Source organism: Homo sapiens, chromosome 5, assembly GCF_000001405.40.
Source record: "Homo sapiens chromosome 5, GRCh38.p14 Primary Assembly".
Lineage (NCBI taxonomy): Eukaryota > Metazoa > Chordata > Mammalia > Primates > Hominidae > Homo > Homo sapiens.
This window is the reverse complement of record NC_000005.10, coordinates 51996194-52020207: the sequence shown is the minus strand read 5'-3', so window position 1 is coordinate 52020207 and position 24014 is coordinate 51996194. Positions and strand designations below refer to the sequence as shown.

General features: G+C 34.5%; 1 long non-coding RNA gene across 1 annotated transcript in view; it reads right to left on the bottom strand.

The window, feature by feature from the left end:
- LINC02118 (long intergenic non-protein coding RNA 2118) overlaps positions 1-12177 on the bottom strand; it is a 35879-nt gene extending 23702 nt beyond the window's left edge. The window contains exons 1-3 of the long non-coding RNA NR_147166.1: positions 12130-12177; positions 10359-10393; positions 8606-8637 (exon numbers count right to left, since the gene is read on the bottom strand). This is a non-coding gene — a long non-coding RNA (long intergenic non-protein coding RNA 2118). The remainder of the gene's footprint in view (positions 1-8605; positions 8638-10358; positions 10394-12129) is intronic.
- Positions 12178-24014: the final 11837 nt, after the last annotated feature.

The following is a 24014-nucleotide window of genomic DNA, read 5'->3' as shown; positions in this document are numbered from 1 at the left end:
TCTGTTACCTCAACAGCAGTAGCCCCATCATCTCTTTGATTTTAGAATTTGTTGCCTGCATAGAGTAGGCAACACATGCATGGTATCTTTTTTTCCAAAGTATTACCAAAACCTATACATTTAAATGTTTCTAATTCCTAAAAGTCATAAAATCCTAAGCTTTATCCTGGTTCTGTAACTTGTTTGGATTGACTCATTATTATTTGAAAAGTTTAGAGATTATAGCCATTTAATGATAAAATAGCGATCTTTAAAATTATCTATTTTGCCATCTTGTTCTACCACTGAGAAAGGTACGATGATATGCTTTTAAAGAGTCACAAATTTAACCTTTAGAAAAGGAGAGGCCAATGTCCCTGTCTCCTGTGACTCTTTTATTATACACTTGAGCCACAATGTGCAGTGAAATAATTCAAGGGAAGTAACAAACTTTTTTTTTATTATTATTATACTTTAAGTTTTAGGGTACATGTGTACAATGTGCAGGTTAGTTACATATGTATACATGTGCCATGCTGGTGTCTGCACCCATTAACTCGTCATTTAGCATTAGGTATATTTCCTAATGCTATCCCTCCCCCCTCCCCCCCATCCCACAACAGTCCCCAGAGTGTGATGTTCCCCTTCCTGTGTCCATGTGTTCTCATTGTTCAATTCCCATCTATGAGTGAGAACATGTGGTGTTTGGTTTTTTGTCCTTGCGATAGTTTACTGAGAATGATGATTTCCAATTTCATCCATGTCCCTAAAAAGGACATGAACTCATCATTTTTTATGGCTGCATAGTATTCCATGGTGTATATGTGCCACATTTTCTTAATCCAGTCTATCATTGTTGGACATTTGGGTTGGTTCCAAGTCTTTGCTATTGTGAATAGTGCCACAATAAACATACGTGTGCATGTGTCTTTATAGCAGCATGATTTATAATCCTTTGGGTATATACCCAGTAATGGGATGGCTGGGTCAAATGGTATTTCTAGTTCTAGATCCCTGAGGAATTGCCACACTGACTTCCACAATGGTTGAACTAGTTTACAGTCCCACCAACAGTGTAAAAGTGTTCCTATTTCTCCACATCCTCTCCAGCACCTGTTGTTTCCTGACTTTTTAATGATTGCCATTCTAACTGGTGTGAGATGGTATCTCACTGTGGTTTTGATTTGCATTTCTCTGATGGCCAGTGATGATGAGCATTTTTTCATGTGTCTTTTGGCTGCATAAATGTCTTCTTTTGAGAAGTGTCTGTTCATATCCTTTGCCCACTTTTTGATGGGGTTGTTTGTTTTTTTCTTGTAAATTTGTTTGAGTTCATTGTAGATTCTGGATATTAGCCCTTTGTCAGATGAGTAGGTTGCGATGATTTCAGATTTTTTTTGAAACAGGTTCTCACTCTGTTGTCTGGTTTGGAGCGCAGTGGTATCATCACTGCTCACTGCAGCCTCAGTCTCCTGGGCTCAAGCAATCCTCCTGCCACAGCTTCCCAAAGTGCTGGGGTTATAGGCGTGAGTCACTACGCCCAGATAACTTCAGATTTTAAAATTTTTATAACGACCCTTTGTGGTCAAAAATACGATGCCATTTGAGTTAATCTATTCACATTTTCTTAGTGCTTCCATTGTGATGAGAACTGCTGAGACCATACATGCCATTTAGATTCAAAATTCATTTTTAAATATTGTACCTTATACTGGGTTTTAAGATCATAATTACCATACCCAAAAGGACTGGCATGTATAAGATACATTTTTTCTCTATTTTTATCATACTTCTGTTTGGTAGACATGAGAGGAAAATCATATGATTAAGTTACTTCAAATCTAGAATGTAAATATATAGATGATTGCAAAAATAAATTTAAAAGGAGGATACTTAAGAATGTTTGTTTGCCCTGCCAAACTCCAGATATGTACTTGTATGTAAAATATAACACCTTCAGGTTATTGCTTAACTGATAACATTGACAGGCTGTTTTTTAATATCGTAAAAAAAATCAGATATCTGAAACAATTGAACAGCAAATAATTTATGCAAAATTGTATTTTATTCACTCATAACATATTAATCTAGTTTCTAGAAAACTTCATGTAACTGATAAAATCTTACTGTACAGATTATATTTGTTATGCAATATGAATCCAGAATATCCATTTTTCCCCTCCTGTCTCTGTTTTTTTCTATAACAAGGTCAACTGTAGAAGAACAGTAAGCTGCTAGTGTGCCTGCCAAGTTTTAATTGAAATGTTGTGATAAATTTCACTGCCAGGTCAGATGTTATTTTCTGGTTAAGGAGGGTCAAGTTGGTCTCTTAAAGAACCACTTTTGATTTTTATAGTGTCCAGTGATTTGTTCCTGGAAGTTGATTTACCACAGAGTTGACCTCTGTCCTCTCAGTTGACCTTTGCCAGCATTGTCAAGTCTCCAGTTCACCTATGGCCGCTGGTAGCAAAAAGTATTTTATTAAACGAGCCTTCCCATTTTATTAGTGTGAAAATAGGCCTTTCCTAATCAATAGGACAGGAAGCATTCACTTTATTGCTTTAGACTAGAGACTAAAGGTCATTTAACACAAATAGAATGAAGCACATAACAAAAACAGCAGTAAATACTTGATAAGTCAGCATAAATAACTTGGTTAGTGTAAAAAATGCCTGCCCTTTTCAATATATGTATTAAGTTAATAAAAATATTTAAAATTGTTGAAATTTAGAACAACTATATTTTAGATGATAATCTTTAAAAACAGTTTCTATTAAATCACAATTTTGGTTTGATTTTTGAATACATCGATCCCGAGTTCCTACTTAGGATTTAAATAACATCAATACTTACAAAGAAACTAGCTTCTATTCCACAATTTCCAAGTGCTTTATTATTATAAATACCATAAAACTTCCTTAAGGAGACAGCGTATTTTGGAGAACATGAGTAAACCATATAGTGAGAGAAACAAAGACGAAAATGGCAGTAGCTTTGCATTCACTGATGAAAATATTGTGGAGGTAACGTTAGGAAGCAAGGAATATGCCTTTATAATCTATGTCTTGGTGAAGTATTGCTCAAGGTTGGTGTGCTGGCTGTAATCACTCAGCGTCATCTACATCAATTTTACAGACTGGCTTTGCAAGACCTACATTGTTCTATCCCAAACATACATCTTAAGCATCTTTGCTTAGTAACATCTTCTTAGTAACATCTTATTAACATCTTAGTAACATTTTCAACTTTTCATTAACACTTGAAAAATCACTTATATTACCTGAATAACACCTTTACTTTTACCATTTTAAGACAAGTTATTTAGGTCCTCTGTATAACATATAAATGTATATAAATGCTAATATAATGACCACTTTAATATAAATTTACAATGTATTATCAATATTGTTTGGCACGCGATTTATTGTAATATCATGTGTGCATACACACTGTAGCAAAAAGTTTCTACAGTAAAGGTTTTAATCAGCAAGACAACAAAAAAGGATGATAGAAAGTACATAGAAAAGCCCCTTTTTGAATAATGGATAGAAGTTACTGCTAAGAAATGTAGACATTTTAAACAACTTACTTAAAGCTTATGATTCTTCTTAAGCAAGTGATGATGGCAACTTCAGAATACATACCTTTTAGAATTTGAATTTGAATGATTACTTCTGAATTTAGAATTACATGAGCTAAGGTACACAAAAACATAAAGAACAATCTGTGTGTTGTTATTTTTATGATTTCTTGGTGGATTTTATTCAGGATGCTTACTTACTAAGCTAAATGTAATGGTTCTTTCATTCCCTAGAACTGCAGTGTTTGCACTTTAATGCTGTTGTTATTTATGTAAATTATTGGCAGTCATAAAAAGATCAGAAAAGTTTACTATTCGACAGTATAGTAGTGAATAGAGTGCTGTGTCAGACTAATTCTTTTATCATGAAAGGTAAGCAAGAAATTTGACTGTATAACAAAGGAGCAGCATTTTACAGCCACTGGCATATGGTTCTTCAGAAATAATCAGTCTCTGAGGCTTCAAATATGCAAATTCAGTTTGATTAACTTCCATGAATTCCAAAATTAAAAAATAATTATGCTGGTCTACATGAGAGGACACATAAGTAACAATAATACATTTTTCATTTTTCACCCACTAAGCATGATATCATTACAAGCCTGAAGCATGTGGTGGGGAGCCCGTGGCAGCGAATAGGATGACCTTGGGCTTTATTCCATTCTGAGAGTGGGCTGGGCTGGAGGCCTAGGGAAGTCGGAGGCGGGAGCTGATTTCACAAGAGCTCTTATGGACATAAGCAGTTACAGGCATGAGGAGTGTTCTAGGCCCAGATGACAAAGTGTGACAGAGAATTAAGGAGGTATCCTTTTCTCCATGTCTGCTAGAATCCCACTACAAGAACAGGACGCTTGAATGGCCTTGAATGACAGACATTTGAGATCCTATAACAGCAGTGGCAACAGAGAAGCCTTTTCAAGTTACTTTGCCAAGACTTTATATAAAATAGGGTGAGGCAAAGTAGGAGGGAAAGTACATGGAGAGTGTCATGTGGTAATTGTAGTGGGCATACTGGTGACATTGTCTTGTAAGTAAACGTGAAGGTAAACTGCAAAGTCTCTCAGAAAAGCATGTGGAGGATTGACAGCATGCCATGTGGTGGCATCCATGAGCAGGTGGGGATTACTACTAATAATATTTACTATCACAAGTAGGTAAGGTCTCAAAAGGAGCTCAAAAATTCCTAAATAGCTGGTAATAAAAGCACATTATAGTACAGATTTCTTATGTTCCAAGCACCATTTTAAGGGCTAGTGAGTGACTCGGTTTTCCTAACAATCCTATAAAGTAGTTACAATATTTGTTCCCAGTGTTAAGGTGAGGATACTAAATCAGAGATATGATAAGTAACTAAGTAAATTGTGAAACTGTGATTCAAATTTAGGTAGTTCATGTTCTAAAGAGGTTAGACCTGTACATCTCACTTTTTAGGTGAAGAATATGAGTTAAGAAGTTTAAGTCATCTTTCAAGGCACACAGAAATAGCAACCCACAAAGCATGGACTTGAATGTAGGTCATTCTGAAATCTAAATTCACTACTTTTAACCATCCCATTATCCTGTAAGGCATGTGAGGAATGCCTGAAGCGCTGAAGATTCTGGGCCTCAGAGCTTTTGAGTGTCCTTGCCTTAGCTGATAGGGTATCTACTGGTGGAGAGTATGACTTGCTTACCTGCCCATACTTACCAAATCAGCTATGATTCAGCCCACTCTGTGTTTCTTAGTTGTCTTAAATAGCCAGTTGCCTCAAACATGAGTAATTTATTCCAATTGGCTACCAAAACCACTATTTACTGAAAGCCTAGTATGCATTGGGCACTATGTTAAATGAACGTACACATTACATCTATGACTTCTCACACCAATGCTGAGAGAAATGTATGATTAACTTTATTTTACATATGAAGAAATTGATTCTAGAAGTCTAATTCACCTAAGGCCATGCCCCAGGTGACAAGAAGCTAACCAGATCTATCTAATGATGCCATTAATGCTACATCACTCTCCCAAAGACACCCAAATCCACTTGATTAACTCCATGTCCTGCAATTGTATGGACATAGGATTCTATGACACAATCTCATCTGAGCTTGACATAATCGTGTCTGCCACTCCACTCCATTTAACTACTTTTTTTGGTTGATTTTCATGCATAATCAATGAAAATCAGAATAAAAAAGATAAAAACAAAATGAAAATACATATATACATATATACATATCATATATGAAATATAAGTATCAATATATAAATAACATTCTTATTAAAATTTCTTTTGTGCTATTATATTTCAAGGTAGGTCACAAATAAATAACATTCTTATTAAAATATTTCTTTTGTGCTATTATATTTCAAGATAGGTCACAAAAGCCAATGATTATTTTGAGAAATATATCTCATATTTTATTTAATTCATATTTATTTAATAAGGGACCTAAACAGTGTACTTCCATATTTTTCACCTGCTTTCATGTACTTTGTCCTCTGGCTTATCAATTAATAAATTACCATTTGAGAGCATGTCTTTTTCTTTTCTATTTGATGTTTAGCAGATGCCACCTGTTTCCAGAGGACAGGTTGTTTGTTGTTAGTAGAGCACAATAGTGAGTACAGAGCGTATAAACACAGTTGTTGGAGTATAATTACTTGAGCTCTTTATGGAGGTGGATCATCTCACAGTACAATGCTCAACAGGACAAAGTAAGGCCAACTGTCTTTTACAGCATCAGCTGCCACACTGAGTTTGGTGTTTTGCCACGACACCAAGTCCTTTTTGTTTATCAGGTAATTAACAGTAATGATGTCTTGCTGCTTGGCTTTGTTTCAGAACCAAGGTTCCTTCTTTGCAGATTTGGGTGGACTCTTAGGCTCAGGCCCATGGCCTGAATGTCATAAGCACCAGCAGGCAATTCTAGGTTTAATTACTTCCCTGTTTTGTTCTTTACATTGGGCAATAAACATCCAGTCTAAAGGCAATTTGTAGGAGAGAGGGGAGGGGAAAGGGAGGGGGTGCCTCCTCTCACAGCAATGCATCCATCAAGTAAACTAACTTAAAAACTGTTTTGACCTTGAGTTCTTAAACATTATTGTAATTCCCCATCTTATAAGGAAAAGCATTTTAAAGAAAGTTATTGAAATAAAACACAACCCTACAGATAGGCAGTCTGTTTATGAAATATGAGGGAATTCAATTACCCATGAATGGATGAATGGCTTTTTTTTTCCCTCTCTTTGTCTGGTCATCATTGTTACTGTGGATTTCTTTAACAAAAGATATCAAAATAAACAGAAATGTCTCCGATGAACTGTGAGCCTGCAGTTAAGTGGCATATGTATGGGAGAGTGCCTCTCTTGGATGTATTTAGTATAAGTATTATTTTTTTAATGGTACATTATTGAATTTTTAGCAAAATCACACTAAATAAAGAAATTACTACATAAGAATGAGCAAAGCTCTAGAAAAATACAACATGTAGATATTAATTTTTTCTTACACAAAGCAGGAACACATTTCATTAGAAGTAATATAAAATTTGAGATAATTTTGGTTAAATGTTGATTATAGATAAATGTATATGGAAATTATATACATTTGTTTTAGTACTTGTAATTTTTGAAGCTCATTGAGTACTGATTTATAGCTTTTGTGTTATGGAAACTGTATTTTTAAATAAACTTTAATATGCAGTATTTGTAAGTAATTTTCAGTGCTTGTTAGTGATACTTGGCACATTTTAAATGCCAAAATCCTAAAATTGTTGATGTAATTATATTAATTATATAACATTCTGACCCATATTATTTTTGCTAGATAGCTCTTTTGGATAAAATGATCAAATATTTAAAATGAAGTTTGCCTATTCTGTATTTACAAAGCATTTAATTATCCTACAAAGTATTCCATATTTTGGTCTCTTTTCTGCTTTATAAAATGTCTGAGTTACAAATACCAGACTAAAAGGTCCAATACATAGTTCAAATAGCAATAGTAATTTGAAGTATGTATTGGACCTTTATGATAATAATTTTTCATTACATTTGAAGAATTTAAGCAAACCATATGGAAGGTTTCATATGGAAAGGATGGGCATGGAAAGTAAGGAAAAGAAAAGAATGGGTATAAAAAGGTGATTTTTATGTTTTCTAAAGAAATTTTGCATTAAATACATTCAGTCTTGTGAAATTCCTCCAGCATAATTTTTTGGAAGTGTTCCCACTCCTTACAAATGTTCCTCAGATTTTTATGGATAGGATGTTCTACAGAGATGATGCATGACCTTCTCTCCAATATAAAAGCAAAGAAACTACTGCTTTCCTTGGCATTCAAGTAGTCTTTTCCATTTGTAAGTACATTTTGAAAAAATACATTTTACATGCTCTAGTAATTTTATTCCACTTTTATATGTGGATTGAAAAACAAATATTTAAAAAACATTAATGGCACTCAATTTTTTAAATACAAAATATCAGAAATATCAGATTTTCACTGATTCTGTAATTTACCAGGTTATAGTAAGACCACTGGGAACATTTATATTTATAAAGGGTTTAAATTATTTTTCCACTAAATTTGCTTATTACTGGGTTAGCATGTTTAAAATTGATTTTACTGAAAGAAGAAATGAATAGATTGATTTTTCAAGTGGAATAGTATGAGGAAGTATATAGTAGTAGTGATTTTGAGCATTCCCATAAAGGTGACAGGAGATTGATAATATACCAGAATTTGTCTACAGAACTCTTAAAATATAATGGTTCTCTTCCTGTTTTAATGTGAAAATTTTTCTAACCTCAAAGTTCGTAAAAGAACCAACGAGCCCTTCACACCATTTTTTCATGTTTCTCATGCATGTAACAAAGGGCTCAGACTAAACTGGCACTTAATAAATTATAGCTATCTAATTATTATTAATATCACAATGATTGTTATGATGTATTATTAGTTTCTTTGGGGAAAAAGAAGCATTATAATAATTATCATTGAAACTATATTTTCAACTGGATAAAATAGTTTTACATCTAAGAAGAATAGTTGTGACTCTTACCTCTTAGAAATAGCATCAACATCATTGTGGGTCTGGATGAAGGTTGGAAAGAGAAGAATGTAACTGTTCTTTTCCTAGGACCTATCAATTATTATGTCAATTGACATGATTCGAGCAGAGTTCATTTTTTTCACTCTAAAGCACAAAACAATACTAGGAATGGTAAAGGATGTCATAATTTTTAAACTAAGAACCTATAATACACTCTAAATGCAACAAAGAGGTCCCTAAACTCACTTCTACCTTAAGCCACTTTTTCTGAGCAACAAAATGTCTTGGCAATCAAATAATTCATTGAAACAGTAACAGCAGTCTAGTCAGATGAGGTTTCTTTGTTTAACCCAATTTTGCAGGATGAAACTGTTTAGACGTGGACTTAGTGACTTCATTTGAACCTTTGTAGGCACATGCCTTGTTGAATTGGATGGTAAGAGGAGATTCATATGCACCAAAGCCCATATTCACACTCTTATTTCAATATTTTTTAACTGGAATTTAATTTTAAACTTGAATAGAAATCTGAGAAAATTAACATGTGGTCAAGGTTTTAGGTGAACATAAAATTACCTAACTTGATGAGGACAGTGTACAAATTCTTGATAATCAGCAAATGTTAAGCAGAAAATTTGAGCACTGTTTTGGGTATTTTTTATCTCGTTCTTGCATTTCAACACCAAATTCCTTTAACATTTTTTTCACAAATCATGGAAGGAAAAGGAAATAATAATAATGATGGCAATGATCTATTTTGACCATCTTATTATTTTCACCTTATTCATCTGGGAGCTACAGTGCAGTCTTAACCATCCCATAAATACTGATCTAGCCAAAGGAAACAGACTGTATTTTCCCTCGACTCTTTGCACTGATATATTGAAATAGCAGGGAAGAAAAAAAAAGGCCCATAATGCTTCATTAGTTAATTGTGCAGAGCACAGCTCTTTAGGGGTAAACAAGTGAAGGACATTTGCTGAATGGCCCATCCTCGTCATGCATATTATGGCCTAATGATGCTAGTAATGGTAGGAGGCTCCTGGAGAGTCATCTGTCAAATTAGCACATTGAATTATTTATTGCCTCAGAGTAAAATTGTTGAAAGGTAGCAGCTGAGACATGGTTTTTATAAATCTAAAATTCAGAAAAAAATACTAAAAAACTCATACAGCTGCTTTGAGGGTATATTCGTTTTTTAACACTTGCATTTATGAACACAATAGTCTTTACTGAGTAAATAGACTGAGTTTGTTTCTACCTTTAAGTCTGATTTGTTGTGTGTTTGTGTGTGTGTATGAAGTCCTGAGTATTTTATGTCATTAGTGATAGTGTAATAACCTAAAATTCAGGTTAATTGTTAAGTCTTCATAACTCATTTCATCTATATCACCAATGATAACCATAAGACAAAATGCCAATTTTTACTAGGCTGTGCGCCCAGAAACTAACATGGAGAGTATTGTTCTTGACTTCCATGTCTCAATTGTTCATATTTTTGTTCTACCACAGTGTTGTCTAAGACAGAAAATCTGCCTTCCTAAGACTTAGGGGAAAAGGCAAACCTATGCTAAACTCTTAAAAAAAAAAAAACAGTAAATATAAGAAACATAAACTAAGAGGACTCTAAACATTACAAAGCCTAATACAGTCAAGGTCTTTCAAAACATATTAATTATTTGTTCAGTATTTACTTAGTGGATACCGACAGAAAGTGTTTTTTCTATTCATACATATTATGTACAGAAATAAATTCACTTACTAATTTCTTCCACTGGCCAATGAAGAGTCACTGTTCTGAAAGAAATTAAAAAAAAAAAAAAAAACAATTAACCAATTCTATGTGGTCCCTATTACCTCTTTATTTCTTTTCTTTTTTCTTTTTTTTTAAATTCCTGCTCTAAACAGATAACTAACTTGGGAAGACTTAACATTTTGATTATAAAATAGATCACTAATTTCAAATAAGCAGGGTTACACTATGTATTATTTGGCCTCAAAGTAGCAATGTAATGAATTTCTTAATAACATTAAATTTAAATCACTATGAGTAATTGAGAACATATATGTGTGTGTATATGTATCCATTTGGTCAGAAACAACTCCAGTTAATTCTAGTAATGTTCTGAGTGGTAGAAGAAACTGGCATCTGGCAACTTCTGGGTGGCTGGCCTGCTACTGGGAAATGATCATAGAGAAAATAGCATCAAATCAGGGTCTTGAAATATGAATGGGCTTTCAATACCCAGGGAGAAAGACAAAACCAGTTATCTTGGAGAAAAAACAGGTTGGAACAGGATATTGGGAAGATATAAAGAAAATTAATCTAAAAACCAAGTTGTATAAGATCATGGAAGGTCTTGACATGTTAAGAAGCATATAATTTAAGGGAAAAAATTCAAACAGATATAGAGAGATAGATTCAGCAGAAGAATCTTTAGAAAAAGTTTAAATAATGTTGGATAAATTCTAAAATAATATATATATTCTAGTTTTCATCATTATCACTACCATAAATATGGTATGTGGTTTTCCACATGGGAAAGGTGAAGAGAGAGAAAGAGGAAAAGTAGAAGTACTAAATTAAGTGGCCACTGTCCTGGGAGAATTGTGATGCTAATTATCAAGTAAAAGAATCAGGGAGAGAGGGTCAAATTTAATAATGAAGACAACAAAATTTCATTATTGACATTTGGAGTTGAAGATTTTGGTGAGGCATTTAAACCAAAACGTCCAGAAAGTTGTTGAAAAGTGAAAGTGTAGCTCAAAGAGAAGTGAGTTAAAAATTTACAGCTGATAAATGGAAATTTCTTTCACGTGGATAGAAAGTCATGCGAATAGCTAAATTGTTTATTTGGTGTGGTTTGGCCAATGCAAATGTTGTCTGCCTGCATATTTTACTTTCTTTTGATAATATGGGCATCGTGTTGAACAATTACTGTTTTTATTACCCCATCAATTTTCTCATCAAGATCTGATTTTTCTTATCGCTATTGCTATTTTAATTCTTTTCATCTCAGCTCTTCTTTCTGAAGTTCTTTTGTATTGACCTTCCTTTTCATCTTTATTAATTTTGTATTTTTCTTTTAAACTCTTTACTGAAATGAAAAATGTTTACTCTATATTTCAAGAGCTTCAGTGTTTCATAGATACTCTCTAACTTAATAGAAGTAAAAAGTATGGGGAAATTGTTATTCTCAGCTTGTAGCAGTTGAAGCAGACCTGCTGATGACCCAGGTCTATGCAATTCCAAAGTTTTGATTTGGCTTTTTTGTTCTTTCTATATCACATTGCCTCCTCCATAGACACTATCTCAGCTTTTTACCTTCATTTCCAATAGCTATCCTTAATCCCTTACTCCTATCCCATTTTCTCTTATCAGTCACCTCTCTTATTATGGATCTACTCCTCCAGTTGGCACTCTTCCTCATGCTGCTGTTCTGTGTCTTTAAATCCTCTTCTCACCTTTCCGTATGCTCATCTGCTCAAACCATTAAGTTTTATCAACCCAATAACATTTATAACAACTTTACCTTTAAAATTGATGATGGAGTTGTAAGTGGTCTCAAATTCACCCTTCATTCAATACTCAAAAGATGGCATTGAAATCCCTTGCTATGTTACAAAAGTCCACACTGTGACAACAGAATGGAAAAGTATAATTTTGGCTGTATGCCATTTGCCTAGACGAATCACCAACAGTTTTGCTGCTTATATGAATACATTTTAAATTGTAGTATTATTTTTCTTGTTCACAAACTTGTAATATGTGGTCAAAAACATATTTCAAAGGTGAACACTTTTTAGACAGTAAAACTGCTCCAAGCATTCAAATTTTTTAAATATCATGCTACTTTTTTTTCTTTTAGAGTGGTTATCTATTAGGTAATAGCTGGGTTTGATTGCGGCAGGATATCAACTGATGCCTACCTGGCAATTAAGAAAACCAGAACTTCGTCTATCATACCCCCAAAGAACTGTAGGATTGATACCTGGAACAGGGAGGATTAGCAGCTGACGGTTGGAGCAGGTCATATTGAGCTTACTTCAGAGGAAGAATACACTAATTTCATATCTAGGAGTTTGCGTTGAAATAAATGTGGGAAGGTATGTTATTTTAAAGGAGCCATATTTACATCGACCATAAAACCTGAGGGAATGCTGCTGGTATTCCAGTAGGTGGCAATCTTCCCCCAGAATATGCAGCTAACCAAGGTCCTAGTGCAGGTTTGGGATGTGCAGCTTGTCTAAATTAACACCAAGGATTCTGTCTCTAAAAGTTCAAAACTTCAACAAAAGAACAAACCTCTTTGTATATTAGAATACTTTCCATGCTCTTAGTAAACCAAATCTTAGTGGATTTACCTTGCATCACCAAACTAAATCAGGCATTCTTTGGGCCTTATCTTTCCTTTTCATGAGTTATATATGTACAGCGATATAAGTATACCATCTCCACTATCCTTCTCAAATTATTCGTGTATATTAGAAACTGCTCTTTGCCAAACATCAATTTATAACACTATCAAGACAGTTAATGAGAACCTGTAAAATGTTATCACCCTTGCAATATGTTTAAGGCAGAAAATTTAAATGATTCTGTGGACTACATGTGACTCTCCGCTATATCTATCCCATCAATTAAGGAATTGTAAGTTGAAGGTTTTGTAAAGGCTTTTGCAAAATAACAAGTGTTTCTCAGTGCAAAGTTTGAAAAATAGATTTTATGGGGAAATGCAAAGCAATCAGAATGCCTTATCTGTGGAGAGAAAGTTTATAGGAATATTTGCTATGCTGTGATACTAGATTTTTGTTGTAAAATCTTCTAAGTGATGTGTAATATAATGGTTACTGCTGTCATTCTGGGATTTTAATGTCATTCTTCCAAACAACCACAGCATAGGCTAGGTGCAGTCTTTGGTCTTCTCATGTTTTTTTGTTTGTTTTGTTTTTAAATAAATCTATTATTTTATTTTAAGTAATTATTTTCTAATTTGGCATATAGTCTCATAAATATGGACTAATATGGTAGCATTACTACTGTTAGGTAATATTAGGTTCTTCTTAACTTCTGAGTAAAAGAGAAATGTGTGTTTCCCTGTTCCCTTGATGTCATATGTGTGTGTGACTTACTTTAGCAAAGAAACAAGTGTGAGAGTGATCTATGTCACTTCCAAGCAGAAACATGGAATTGTCAAAATGATAGTTTCCAAACTGTGGCTTCTTCATCAGCCTCAATCATTTGGTGAAGTCAAAGTGGAAGAAAATCCCTAGTTTACCAGAACAGATATGTAGCATGGTCCAAAAATAGATCTTTATTGTTTTAGGCCACTGAGATTTTGGACTTGTTTGATAGCTTAATGTAACTTAATCAATCCTAACACTATAAAAAGGAATTAAACTTAGTACTATAAGATAGATGATAAGTACTATTAAGTCATATATTCTGCTCAACTCTCCTCTGTTAGGACAGTAAATAAATGTAATGCATGTATAGACAAAATATACTATGGAAGTATATACCTGGGCACTAAAATTATCTCAAACTAATAAAATGCTTTCCTAATATGGAGCCAGCTTCTACATTCTCCTCCTCTGGGTGAAAGCTGGACTCCTCTATAATTGAGAATCTTCTAGTAAATCATTTTCTAGATCAATATTAGAAAATCAAAGGTTTAACTGAAAGTGTAGACAAGTTAAACTTCAGGACTTTCTTAGGTAAAAAATGATTATAATTGGTATGTAGCTAATACATATGCTTTTCAGATCCCTACCAAGCTGTATCTCAACTGCAAGACTTTTCAGATACTTCAACATTCAACATTCATTGTGAATTTCCAAGAATGAAAGATAACATTACTGGCAAAGTCAGTTTATTATTGACTAATAATAAATTCCAGGAAATGTAATGCCACTCTGTCTTGTGCTTAAACAAAAATATTTCCTCATGTAAAAAACAGTAGTGCATTTAACCATTATAGAGACAATTTCCTTCATAATCATTTCCTTTTAGAAGCATACCTCTGAAGGAATTACAAAAAATTTAGAAATGATTTTCTTATTTTTTAAAATACATATTCATGGTTTATTTCTAAAGATCATAACTCTTACTCACCTGCATTGTGGTATGATTCCTGATTAGAAGGGGTAAAAGAGAGGAGTTGGGGATAGTACCACACCATCTTGGGTACACTTTTGCTGTATGTTGAGTATCTAAATCCCATCCTTCATACATCAGGACATTAATCAAAGGTTTAAACCTACTTTGTTGGTGCATGGCTTCACAGCTCTCATTGATTTCTATATTTGGTTAATAGTTGGTGGTCTAATTTACTCATTTACTCAACAATCCATTATTGCATTCCTAATAAAGACCAGGTTCTGTGTTATGCACCCAAGATACAAAGTTGAAAGTAACATGATCCCTGTTCTGAAAAAGGTCATTATTTATCAGAGAGTAAAAGTTATTTGAATGTACTATAAATGTCAAAAATAAGATATTTTCAAATACTTTGAATACCAAAGCAATAGAGCAATTAATGACATACCAGGAAATATAAGCAGAATGATCAGAAGCACATCGTCAAAGTTTATGTCGTATTTGGAGAACTATGTGTGATCTGGTATAGTTCAAATGACCCAGGGGCATTTGGAATACAGGACTTAAAAAACAATATTTATTTATGTAAAATAGTCAAATGTATAGCTTGCTTAAGATGAAACACTTTAAGCAATTAAAGGTAGACAATAAGGATATTTGAAAATCACCAAGTAATATGTCTTGTAAAATACTAACCTCAAATGGTCCAAATAAGAGGCAGATTAGAAAAGTAAGGTGGAAGGAAGGGGACATAGTGGAGATGAGGTGGAGAAATAAGTATTTATTGATCACCTAAATTTTCTAGGCATATTGGTGGTAGTTTTCACATATCATCACATATCTTATTCACAGCCAGCCAGTCAAGTAGGCATTACAATTCCTACTTCATGAACACTCTTAAAAGCTCTTGGACACAAAAATGAAAAAAAAAATTATTTTCCTTAAACTAGGAATAAAGTCCTTTTTCATAAATTTTATATTAGTTAAGTAATCTCCTTTTTTACTTATGATTCTTACACAATGATAATCATAAGTAAATGTAACTAGGGTATTGAACAATTTCAATGAAAAAAGTTAGCACTATATATTTTCATAGAAATGATGAAAATATATGTATCATATTTATGTTTCATTTAGTTAACCATATCTCAGAAATTCTTCTGGCCTTAAGTTAGCCTAAACAAACTCTTATGGGCAGAAATAGCAGTTACCTTTTTAGAAGTGGAAAGGTGTGATACCTTTCATCACCCATCATAAGGGTCACAACTGATACTCCTATGACAAAAGATTAATAAGAGAAGACTGTAACAAATGTATTTATTCAAAGTTTTACATGACATGGGAGCCTTCAGAAAGGAAAGACCCAAAGACCCAAAGAAAAACTGCCCTTTGTTATGCTTAGGTTCAATGACAAATGGATAGTCATGTAGAAATGTGATTAGACAAAAGGAAATAATCGAATGGTAATAGACTGAGGGGGGAACCAGGCAAAGCCTGGCTATTCATGTTCTTCTTGGCCTCTCTGTGTAGCATTCCTTCCCCCCACATATGGTATGGAGCAGGGTCCCTCTGGAACAAGGATCTTCAAGGGAGAAGAAAGAAGGGAGGAAGTGACCTTTCTAGGTTTTATGGATTGCTTTGGGGAAAAAGACTTCTAATTTCTATGATCCCCCTAGGGGAAGAGGAATTCTGGTTTCCATGACTCTCTTCTGATGGAAAAGAGAGACAGGAGACAAGAAGGCAGGAGAAGGCCAAGAGAACTTGCTTCTGAGGCCTTCTAATCTCCTTTAGTTCAAAGTACTCAGCATGCCAAGACAACGTACTTTGGGGTATCATGTTCTGAGCCCCACCACCTTCATAGACATACTCCTTAATCCAAGATACATTTTTTCATAAATATCACTCAACTCTATTTTTTTAATACATTCTATTTTTTTTCTGGCTAATATGTCTTGTTATTACAGTCATTGAAGCAGAAGAAATTACTGTTACCTATCTTACATGTTTTGATCCAATGTAAAAATCGTTCCCTAATAAATATCTACCCCCAAACTTCTGTTCAAGTTTTACAGAAACACATAGATATAAACCTTTCTGATATCAGACTAAGACTTTTAAGTTATCAGGCTTTTAGACTTTAACATTGGTAGATTGATAACTTATCCTCCATGTCTTATTCTCATTTTCTTCTACTCTCATTCACTGACTCCAATTCCAACCTGAAGCACGAAAACCTCCTGTAGGCAACACATTCCCCATAGTCACACAAACTTTGGCCATGGGTATCAATCCTTGTTTCACTGAAATGTCTTACCTTTGGTTAATGCATCACTAAAGTTGTCTTACCACAGCTTGCACACACTGAACAAAATCTCATGATATGTATAAAGTAATACCATTGGCTGATAGAACAGCCTACAGAAGAGGTAGTATCAAGTGGTGGTTATGGCTATTGACTGCCTCCACCATAAAATATGGCTTTATAGCAAAGGTGATAATAGAATTCAATAGTTTAGTTGGAGTAGTACCCTCCATACATAATCCATACACTGCCAAAGCAGCATAGCTCACGTGGGAAGACGTAACTATTTCTCAAGTGTTGCCTCTATGACAGTGAACTCCCTAAACAGTCAGTGAGCTCCTGGAGTCGAGATTCAGCCTCTATCTAGCTTCAGAGAAGATGCAACAAGATATTCCACATCAGGAACAGGTACTTAAAACCCTTAAAGTTTAAAAAAAAAAAAAAAAAAAAAACCAAAAAAAAGCAGCCCTTAAAGATCTGTTTGAGATTGCTGGAAGGTTTTGCTTGCACCAATAAATGTTTTTACAGGTGATACATATGTGTTTGTGGTACCTGATGAATCCCTGGAGAATGATGCCAGCCCACTTCATGGGCAGACCTATGAAAAGAGGACAAAGGAGATTCATACAGACGTTAAAATAGTGCACTAAAAATACAAATTAAAAACCTGATAATTAAATAATTCCCTCTGATTTATTCTTTCACAGCAAATTTAACACAGATAAGGATTACACAAACTGTCTCCCTTCAAACCAAAAAATAAACAGCAACCAAAAAATAATTTTATAACACATCACACTCAAATATCTAAATAAGTTATTGATAATAAGTACAAATTTGAACACTTCATTCAAACAAATTGAAAACAATTCAAGGAAATGATCGAACACAAGAATCTATGGCCTTGGGGAGCACTACAGGCCCTAAAACAGATTTCATAATATTGCTCTAAGAGATCTTGATTTCATGTGCTACACCATGCATTCCTCTGTGTTACTCAACTCTGCAAAACCAAATAACAAACTTTGGTGGAAAATAAATGCATAAACTGATTTATTTGTATAAGAAGGAAAACATAAAGTAAAAATTGCTGATCTTAGAACATTTAATCACCATTTACATTGCTAAAAATAAAAATTATCAATGGCATTAAATTAAGAATTTCTAATCACCAATATGCTGCAACAGCAAATTTAATTTCTACTTATTTTTAATAATCAAAAATATACTAGTTTCACTAGGGTTTATAGAATGGGTATGTCTAAAACCCCATTTTACTAATCAGCTACATTAGCCCAATGTACTATAAGAGTATAAAGAGGAAGGTGTGATTATACTGTAATAGGCAATTCTCAGCGTATTTTCAACAAATGTATTTTGAGTCCTTATTAAATACTAGCCTCAAAGGGACCTAAACTAACATGGACTAGTCCTCACTGGAAGCAGAGAATTATAGTTCAAATAGATATGAAATAAGTTTGATAAAGCTTATATTTGAGATTATAAACTGGCAGCCCACAGGCTATGATGGAGACTACAGATATTTGGTGGGGGGGAGGGGCCTATCAGGTTTTCAAACATTTGAATGAAATTTGAATAATGAATGGTTTCACATGCTAATCTGGCTTTCTGGCTTCTTTTGAAATACCATAAGATGACCACAAATAGGTGGATCTGAATAGCAGGCCACGTGCTTTCCAGTTTTCCAGTCTCTACTTCTTGCCAACAACCAGCTGATTTCACTCCTTTATATCACAGGCCTGGCCCCCTGACACACTTGAGTTTTAGTTCCTTGTCTTACATAGATTCTTTCACAAAAGATAAAATGAGTTATGCACCAAATATGTGTGTCTTCCTCTCAGGCATCTACCTCTGAAGGAATTTTTTCTATCTCTCCTTCTATCCCAATTCTCGTTCAAATATTCCCTAGATTAGAAGCTATATATCTGTTAACAATATATTCAAAAGTCTTCATGTGCTACTTTATAATTAAAATGAATTAAAGGTATTATCTACAAATTAGTTGAATATATGCTAGAAACAAAATCAAAATAATGTAATCTAAAGGTTTCAAGAATTCAAACTGATTTATCACTTTTTATTAATTATTTTTATCTCCATAAGTATTTTGGTGTAAAGATTTAATAGTTAGTTAAGAGTTGGATCAGGTTAAATTGCTTGCTGTATTGTCTAAAAATTTATCACTGCTGTCTTTTTCCTGCTTGTGCCCAGAGCTGATCCCAGAAGCAGAGGCTGCAACTTAAATCCTACAATATCAGGGGCAGTGGCAAGGTTGCAATTTCTCCTGAAATGTCCATCCCCAAACTTATTTTACACCTAAACCTTTACAAACATAACTTCGTGTGTAAAATTTACCGAAAGCACAGCTTTTTTCATGCCAAAAGTTAAATGCTTCATAAGTTGTTAGAGTGACTAGTGATCAACAGTAGATAGACACAGCAGGAAAGACTGAGACAGTGAACTTTATTCTGGAAACAAAGTTAGTGGAGAAACTTTAAAAAATATATATATTTGTCATTATACAGACAAGTCTAGTCAGATGAGTAGGTAGAGCTATGTATAAGCAAAGTAATGGAATACAGATTTACTTGCTCAACAAAAAGGAAAAAAGGTAGCCAGGTTGCGGTCGCTTATGCCTATAATCCCAGCAGTTTGGGAGGCCAAGATGGGCTGATCACTTGAGTCCTGGAGGTCAATACAGAAATTAGCTGGCCACGGTGGCACACACCTGTAATTCCTGCTACTTGGGAAGCTGAGGTAGAAGGATCACTTGAGCCCAGGAGGTCAAGGCTGCAGTGAGCCATGATCGTGCTACTGCACTCCAGCTTGGGTGACACAGTGAGACCTTGTCTCTAAAAATAAGAAAAGAAGAGAAAAAGAATGAAAGAAAAAAAAAAGAAAAGCAAATGACAATGACCAATGACCAACAAAAAAGAACAAAAAACTCAATGTTAGAACAAGTGAAGAGGGTGTTGCGCATCTGTGACAACAAAGAATAGTGAGATTAACAACTGAAGGGAAAATTAGTCATACAGCCCAGGCTGATCATTTCTTTTTTTTCTTTTTTCTTTTTTTTTTTTTTTTTGAGACGGAGTCTGGCTCTGTCGCCCAGGCTGGAGTGCAGTGGCGCAATCTCGGCTCACTGTAAGCTCCGCCTCCCGGGTTCATGCCATTCTCCCGAGCAGCTGGGACTACAGGCGCCCGCCACTACGCCCGGCTAATTTTTTGTAGAGACGGGGTTTCACCGTGTTAGCCAGGATGGTCTCGATCTCCTGACCTCGTGATCCGCCCGCCTCGGCCTCCCAAAGTGCTGGGATTACAGGCGTGAGCCACCGCGCCAGGCCGATCATTTTTTAATAAATGGAAGGAACAGCCAAATGGGATACTCAAAAAGCAATAGGAACTACAGGTATTCAGGTCACAGATACCACAATATAGAGATTCACAAAAGGTGGAGTTGAGTCCAAGGAAGCTGTGTAAGCAAAAGGGATTGTTGGATTTGAACACTATTTGGTATGTGTTTTATTCAATCTAACTAAATAGCAAAGTTACCACAACATCTGCCTATGTTCCTCTTCTTAACTTGTAGGCCAGTACAATGGATTTACTCCTGTGGAGCTCAAATAGCCACTTCCATTTTAGATTCATGGTAGGTATTGCAGATGCCAGAGCAAGGAAAGCAAAGAGTCTTCATTTTATCACCGGGTAATGAGAGCAACAGGTACACTGAGTACTAGGTTAGCAGGGCTTTTATGATTACTCATTGATGTCTATTATGAGTTTGGGACAGTCTCATGAGACACAAATGTCTGCTGTTTCAACACTAAAGGGTATTTCTTCCCCATTTGGAAATGATGACTCCAATCTGTACAAAATGGAAGAGAAGTGTAACAAAACACTTTGAATCTCAAAAATTATTCCTGCAGGATAGAACTGTTCATCTGATTCTTCCCTAGGAGCCTAGGGATGGGCTTTATTGGCTAAGAAAGTCTGAGTATCTGGAGGCAACCTGGGAATGAACTCTGAATGGAGAATAGCGTACAATAGGGAAGACTCGGGACATGGAACTTTTGCTCCCCCTACTTCAGGCTCACCTGTCACTGAAAGTACAAAAAGAAACATTGAGTCTGTCACCATATGTCTCCAGTTTTTAAGATTTTACCAATTGTATGTAGTTCTCTTTTGATACAGTGTAACCTTTTATCAGGAAAAATACTTACAGGAAAAACCTTTAAATTTAACATAAAATCTAATTTTTTTGCTCCTATTGAAGCTTGGAAGACTGGATCCTTATTAGAGTGCATTTCTACAAAGAGATAAACATTTTAAAAAAATAAGCATGAATGGAATCCAGGATAAAATGCATCCATTTGTGCAGGAAAATAGCTTTTACTGAAGAAAATGGCACAAATTCATCATATGGAGAAAAATGTCATTTCAAAGCCTGTTTCCAAGATCAAAATGCAGAACTTTTAATACACTATATTAGCTTTTTTCTTGTTCTAAATTTACAAATTTTTAAAGCCAAAGAGTTTTTAAAATCTTTTGGAAACATCAGCAGTTAATTATCCCTATTAATAGAGATTTGTCAAAACCAGTCTAAAACTGGTCAGGAATGTCACCAAAACTGCGTTCACGTTGCTGCATATCATGGACCCTACTTTGAACAATAGTTTCATCAATATATTTTAATTAAACTCTGTATACACCTTAGTACTAAATGCAAATTGCAAACTGTATGAAACAAACAATCATGTCTGTCCTACTAGTTATAGTCTCACTCATGTTGAATCCAATTCAACATGCCGTGACATATAGCTAATAAAAGGGCATCTGTGACAAGGGACTAAGTACCAAAATCAACAATTTGCATAGTGAACAAGGTTTATATTGTGGTGACTCATGTAGCCTTGTACCAAACAATAGGATGAACACTCCCTTATGGCCTCTAGTAAGTACTAGACATGTGGCCTTAGAAAAAGAAATCCCCTCTCATCCCACTTTTTCCCAGTGGTGCTTTGTTAGATCACAGCAAGGGTTTGACTTCATGCCCTGGTCTCTGTCTGAGAGGAAGTCCAGCTCAATTCAATTTGCATCTCTCTGCCTTTTAGTAATGAAACAGCATCCATTTGAGCCGGCCCCATGATAATGCAGAGCAGATGGGCAGAGTTTTGTCTAATTAGATTGTGGGCGGCCTGTTTGCTATAGTAAATGTGCATGTATTTGCTTATTTCACACTTATTTCAGTAACAACAGGTTAGTGGAGACAAGACAGAAATAAATATAGGTAGACAGACTCAATAAACAGATTCTTAATACAAATCAGTAATTTTAATTCAATTACTATGTGCTATACTCTAATGAGTAGACTGATTGCAGGCTTTTTAATTTTTTTTTATTGCAAGCTTTTTATTTTTTATTATTTTTTAGATTGCAGGCTTTTTCATTTTTATTATTTTATAAAATATTTACATTATATTTATAAATTATTTAGAAATTCATTATTTATGAAATAATAAATTATTTTATGCTTTTCTCCTTCCTTCCTTCCTTCCTTCCCTCCTTCCCTCCCTCCCTTCCTTCCTCCCTCCATCCCTCTCTCCTTTCTTGCTTTTTCTTTCTTTTTGGTCCAAAGATTATTTGTAAGGCATTTGGGTCTGCAATGTTTATAGTTAATTTTAAAATCCAATTAAATTATCTATTTTTAAAAATCTAATACCAAAAGAGCCACCCTGTTCTTTCTACTTTTAGATTTCTCAAAAGACATGTGTGGATATTACAAAGTATACCTACAGACTTATATTTTATACATCTATCCAATTGATACTTATCATCATCCCCATAATCATCACTTTCAGTTTCCCTCTGGTGTACCCGTTCACTATCCTGTCCAGTGAGAGAATCATCAAATAATGTACATTCAGGTTGTGACAGTTTCAGGGGTTTATAGTTTCAGAAACAGGATTTTGAAACTCCTGTTCTTGACCTTTTCCCATTAACCTTGCTGCATTTTTATATTTCCTAAACTCTTTATGCACAAACACACACACATGCAAAGTCTGGAGACTTAGACTGAGAGATAATAGAAATAATGAGATAGAAACAAAGTTTATATTTGGGAGATTATAGTCTTATTTTCACTCCAGTTGTCTCCCCTGATTCATTGTCCCCTCAGGTATCCATGGCCTAAGGACTTTGTCCCTCCACCTTTTCAATCAATTGCATCGTAATGTAAATTTAAATCAATATCTTAAAGGTAGAAAATTAAAGACTGTATCCTTGTATTGCATAATAAAAACTCACACCTAAAATAATTTTATGCTTTAAAAGGGTCATATATAAAGGTTTTAGGAAGAGAATCTTCTGGATAAAATCTTACCACATAGTAATGATTTGATATGTCTATGAAGAAATGACACATACATTCAAAAATACACATTGGAAAAGCCAGATGTTTAATTTGGATTATGGCTATTGAATCACAAGAGAAGATCTATTTCCTGAATACCTGAGGGCCTACAATACAAGTATGATCCTTCTGAGTTGCTTATCTGTGAATATTCTCAAATCCACTGAGCTGACAACATTAACCAGATCCTGAATTTCAAATGCTCAGCTCACCTCTCCTCCCTGTGGGCTCTTTCAACAGAGAACTATAAATAACTAGCTCAATTCTAACAACACCACCGAAAGAACAATCAGTGGTACAAAAAAGTACAAGACTAGTTCAGGAATCCAAATATTCCTCATGTAAATAAAAAAGATGAAGGGCCCTAAAGCAATTAAATTGCACTACTGACCCTGGTAAAAACTAAAGGAATCATATTCCCATACTGCATCTTTGGATGCAGAGAAAAACATAGACTAATTGCCCTTCCTTCATCAACTTGAAGATGCAGAGCAGCCATGTCTCTGGAAATGTCCTATAGAGCTCAAAGTAGAGTGCTGTTTGCAACTCATTTTTAACATATACCAACATGAATTTATTGTCTGCC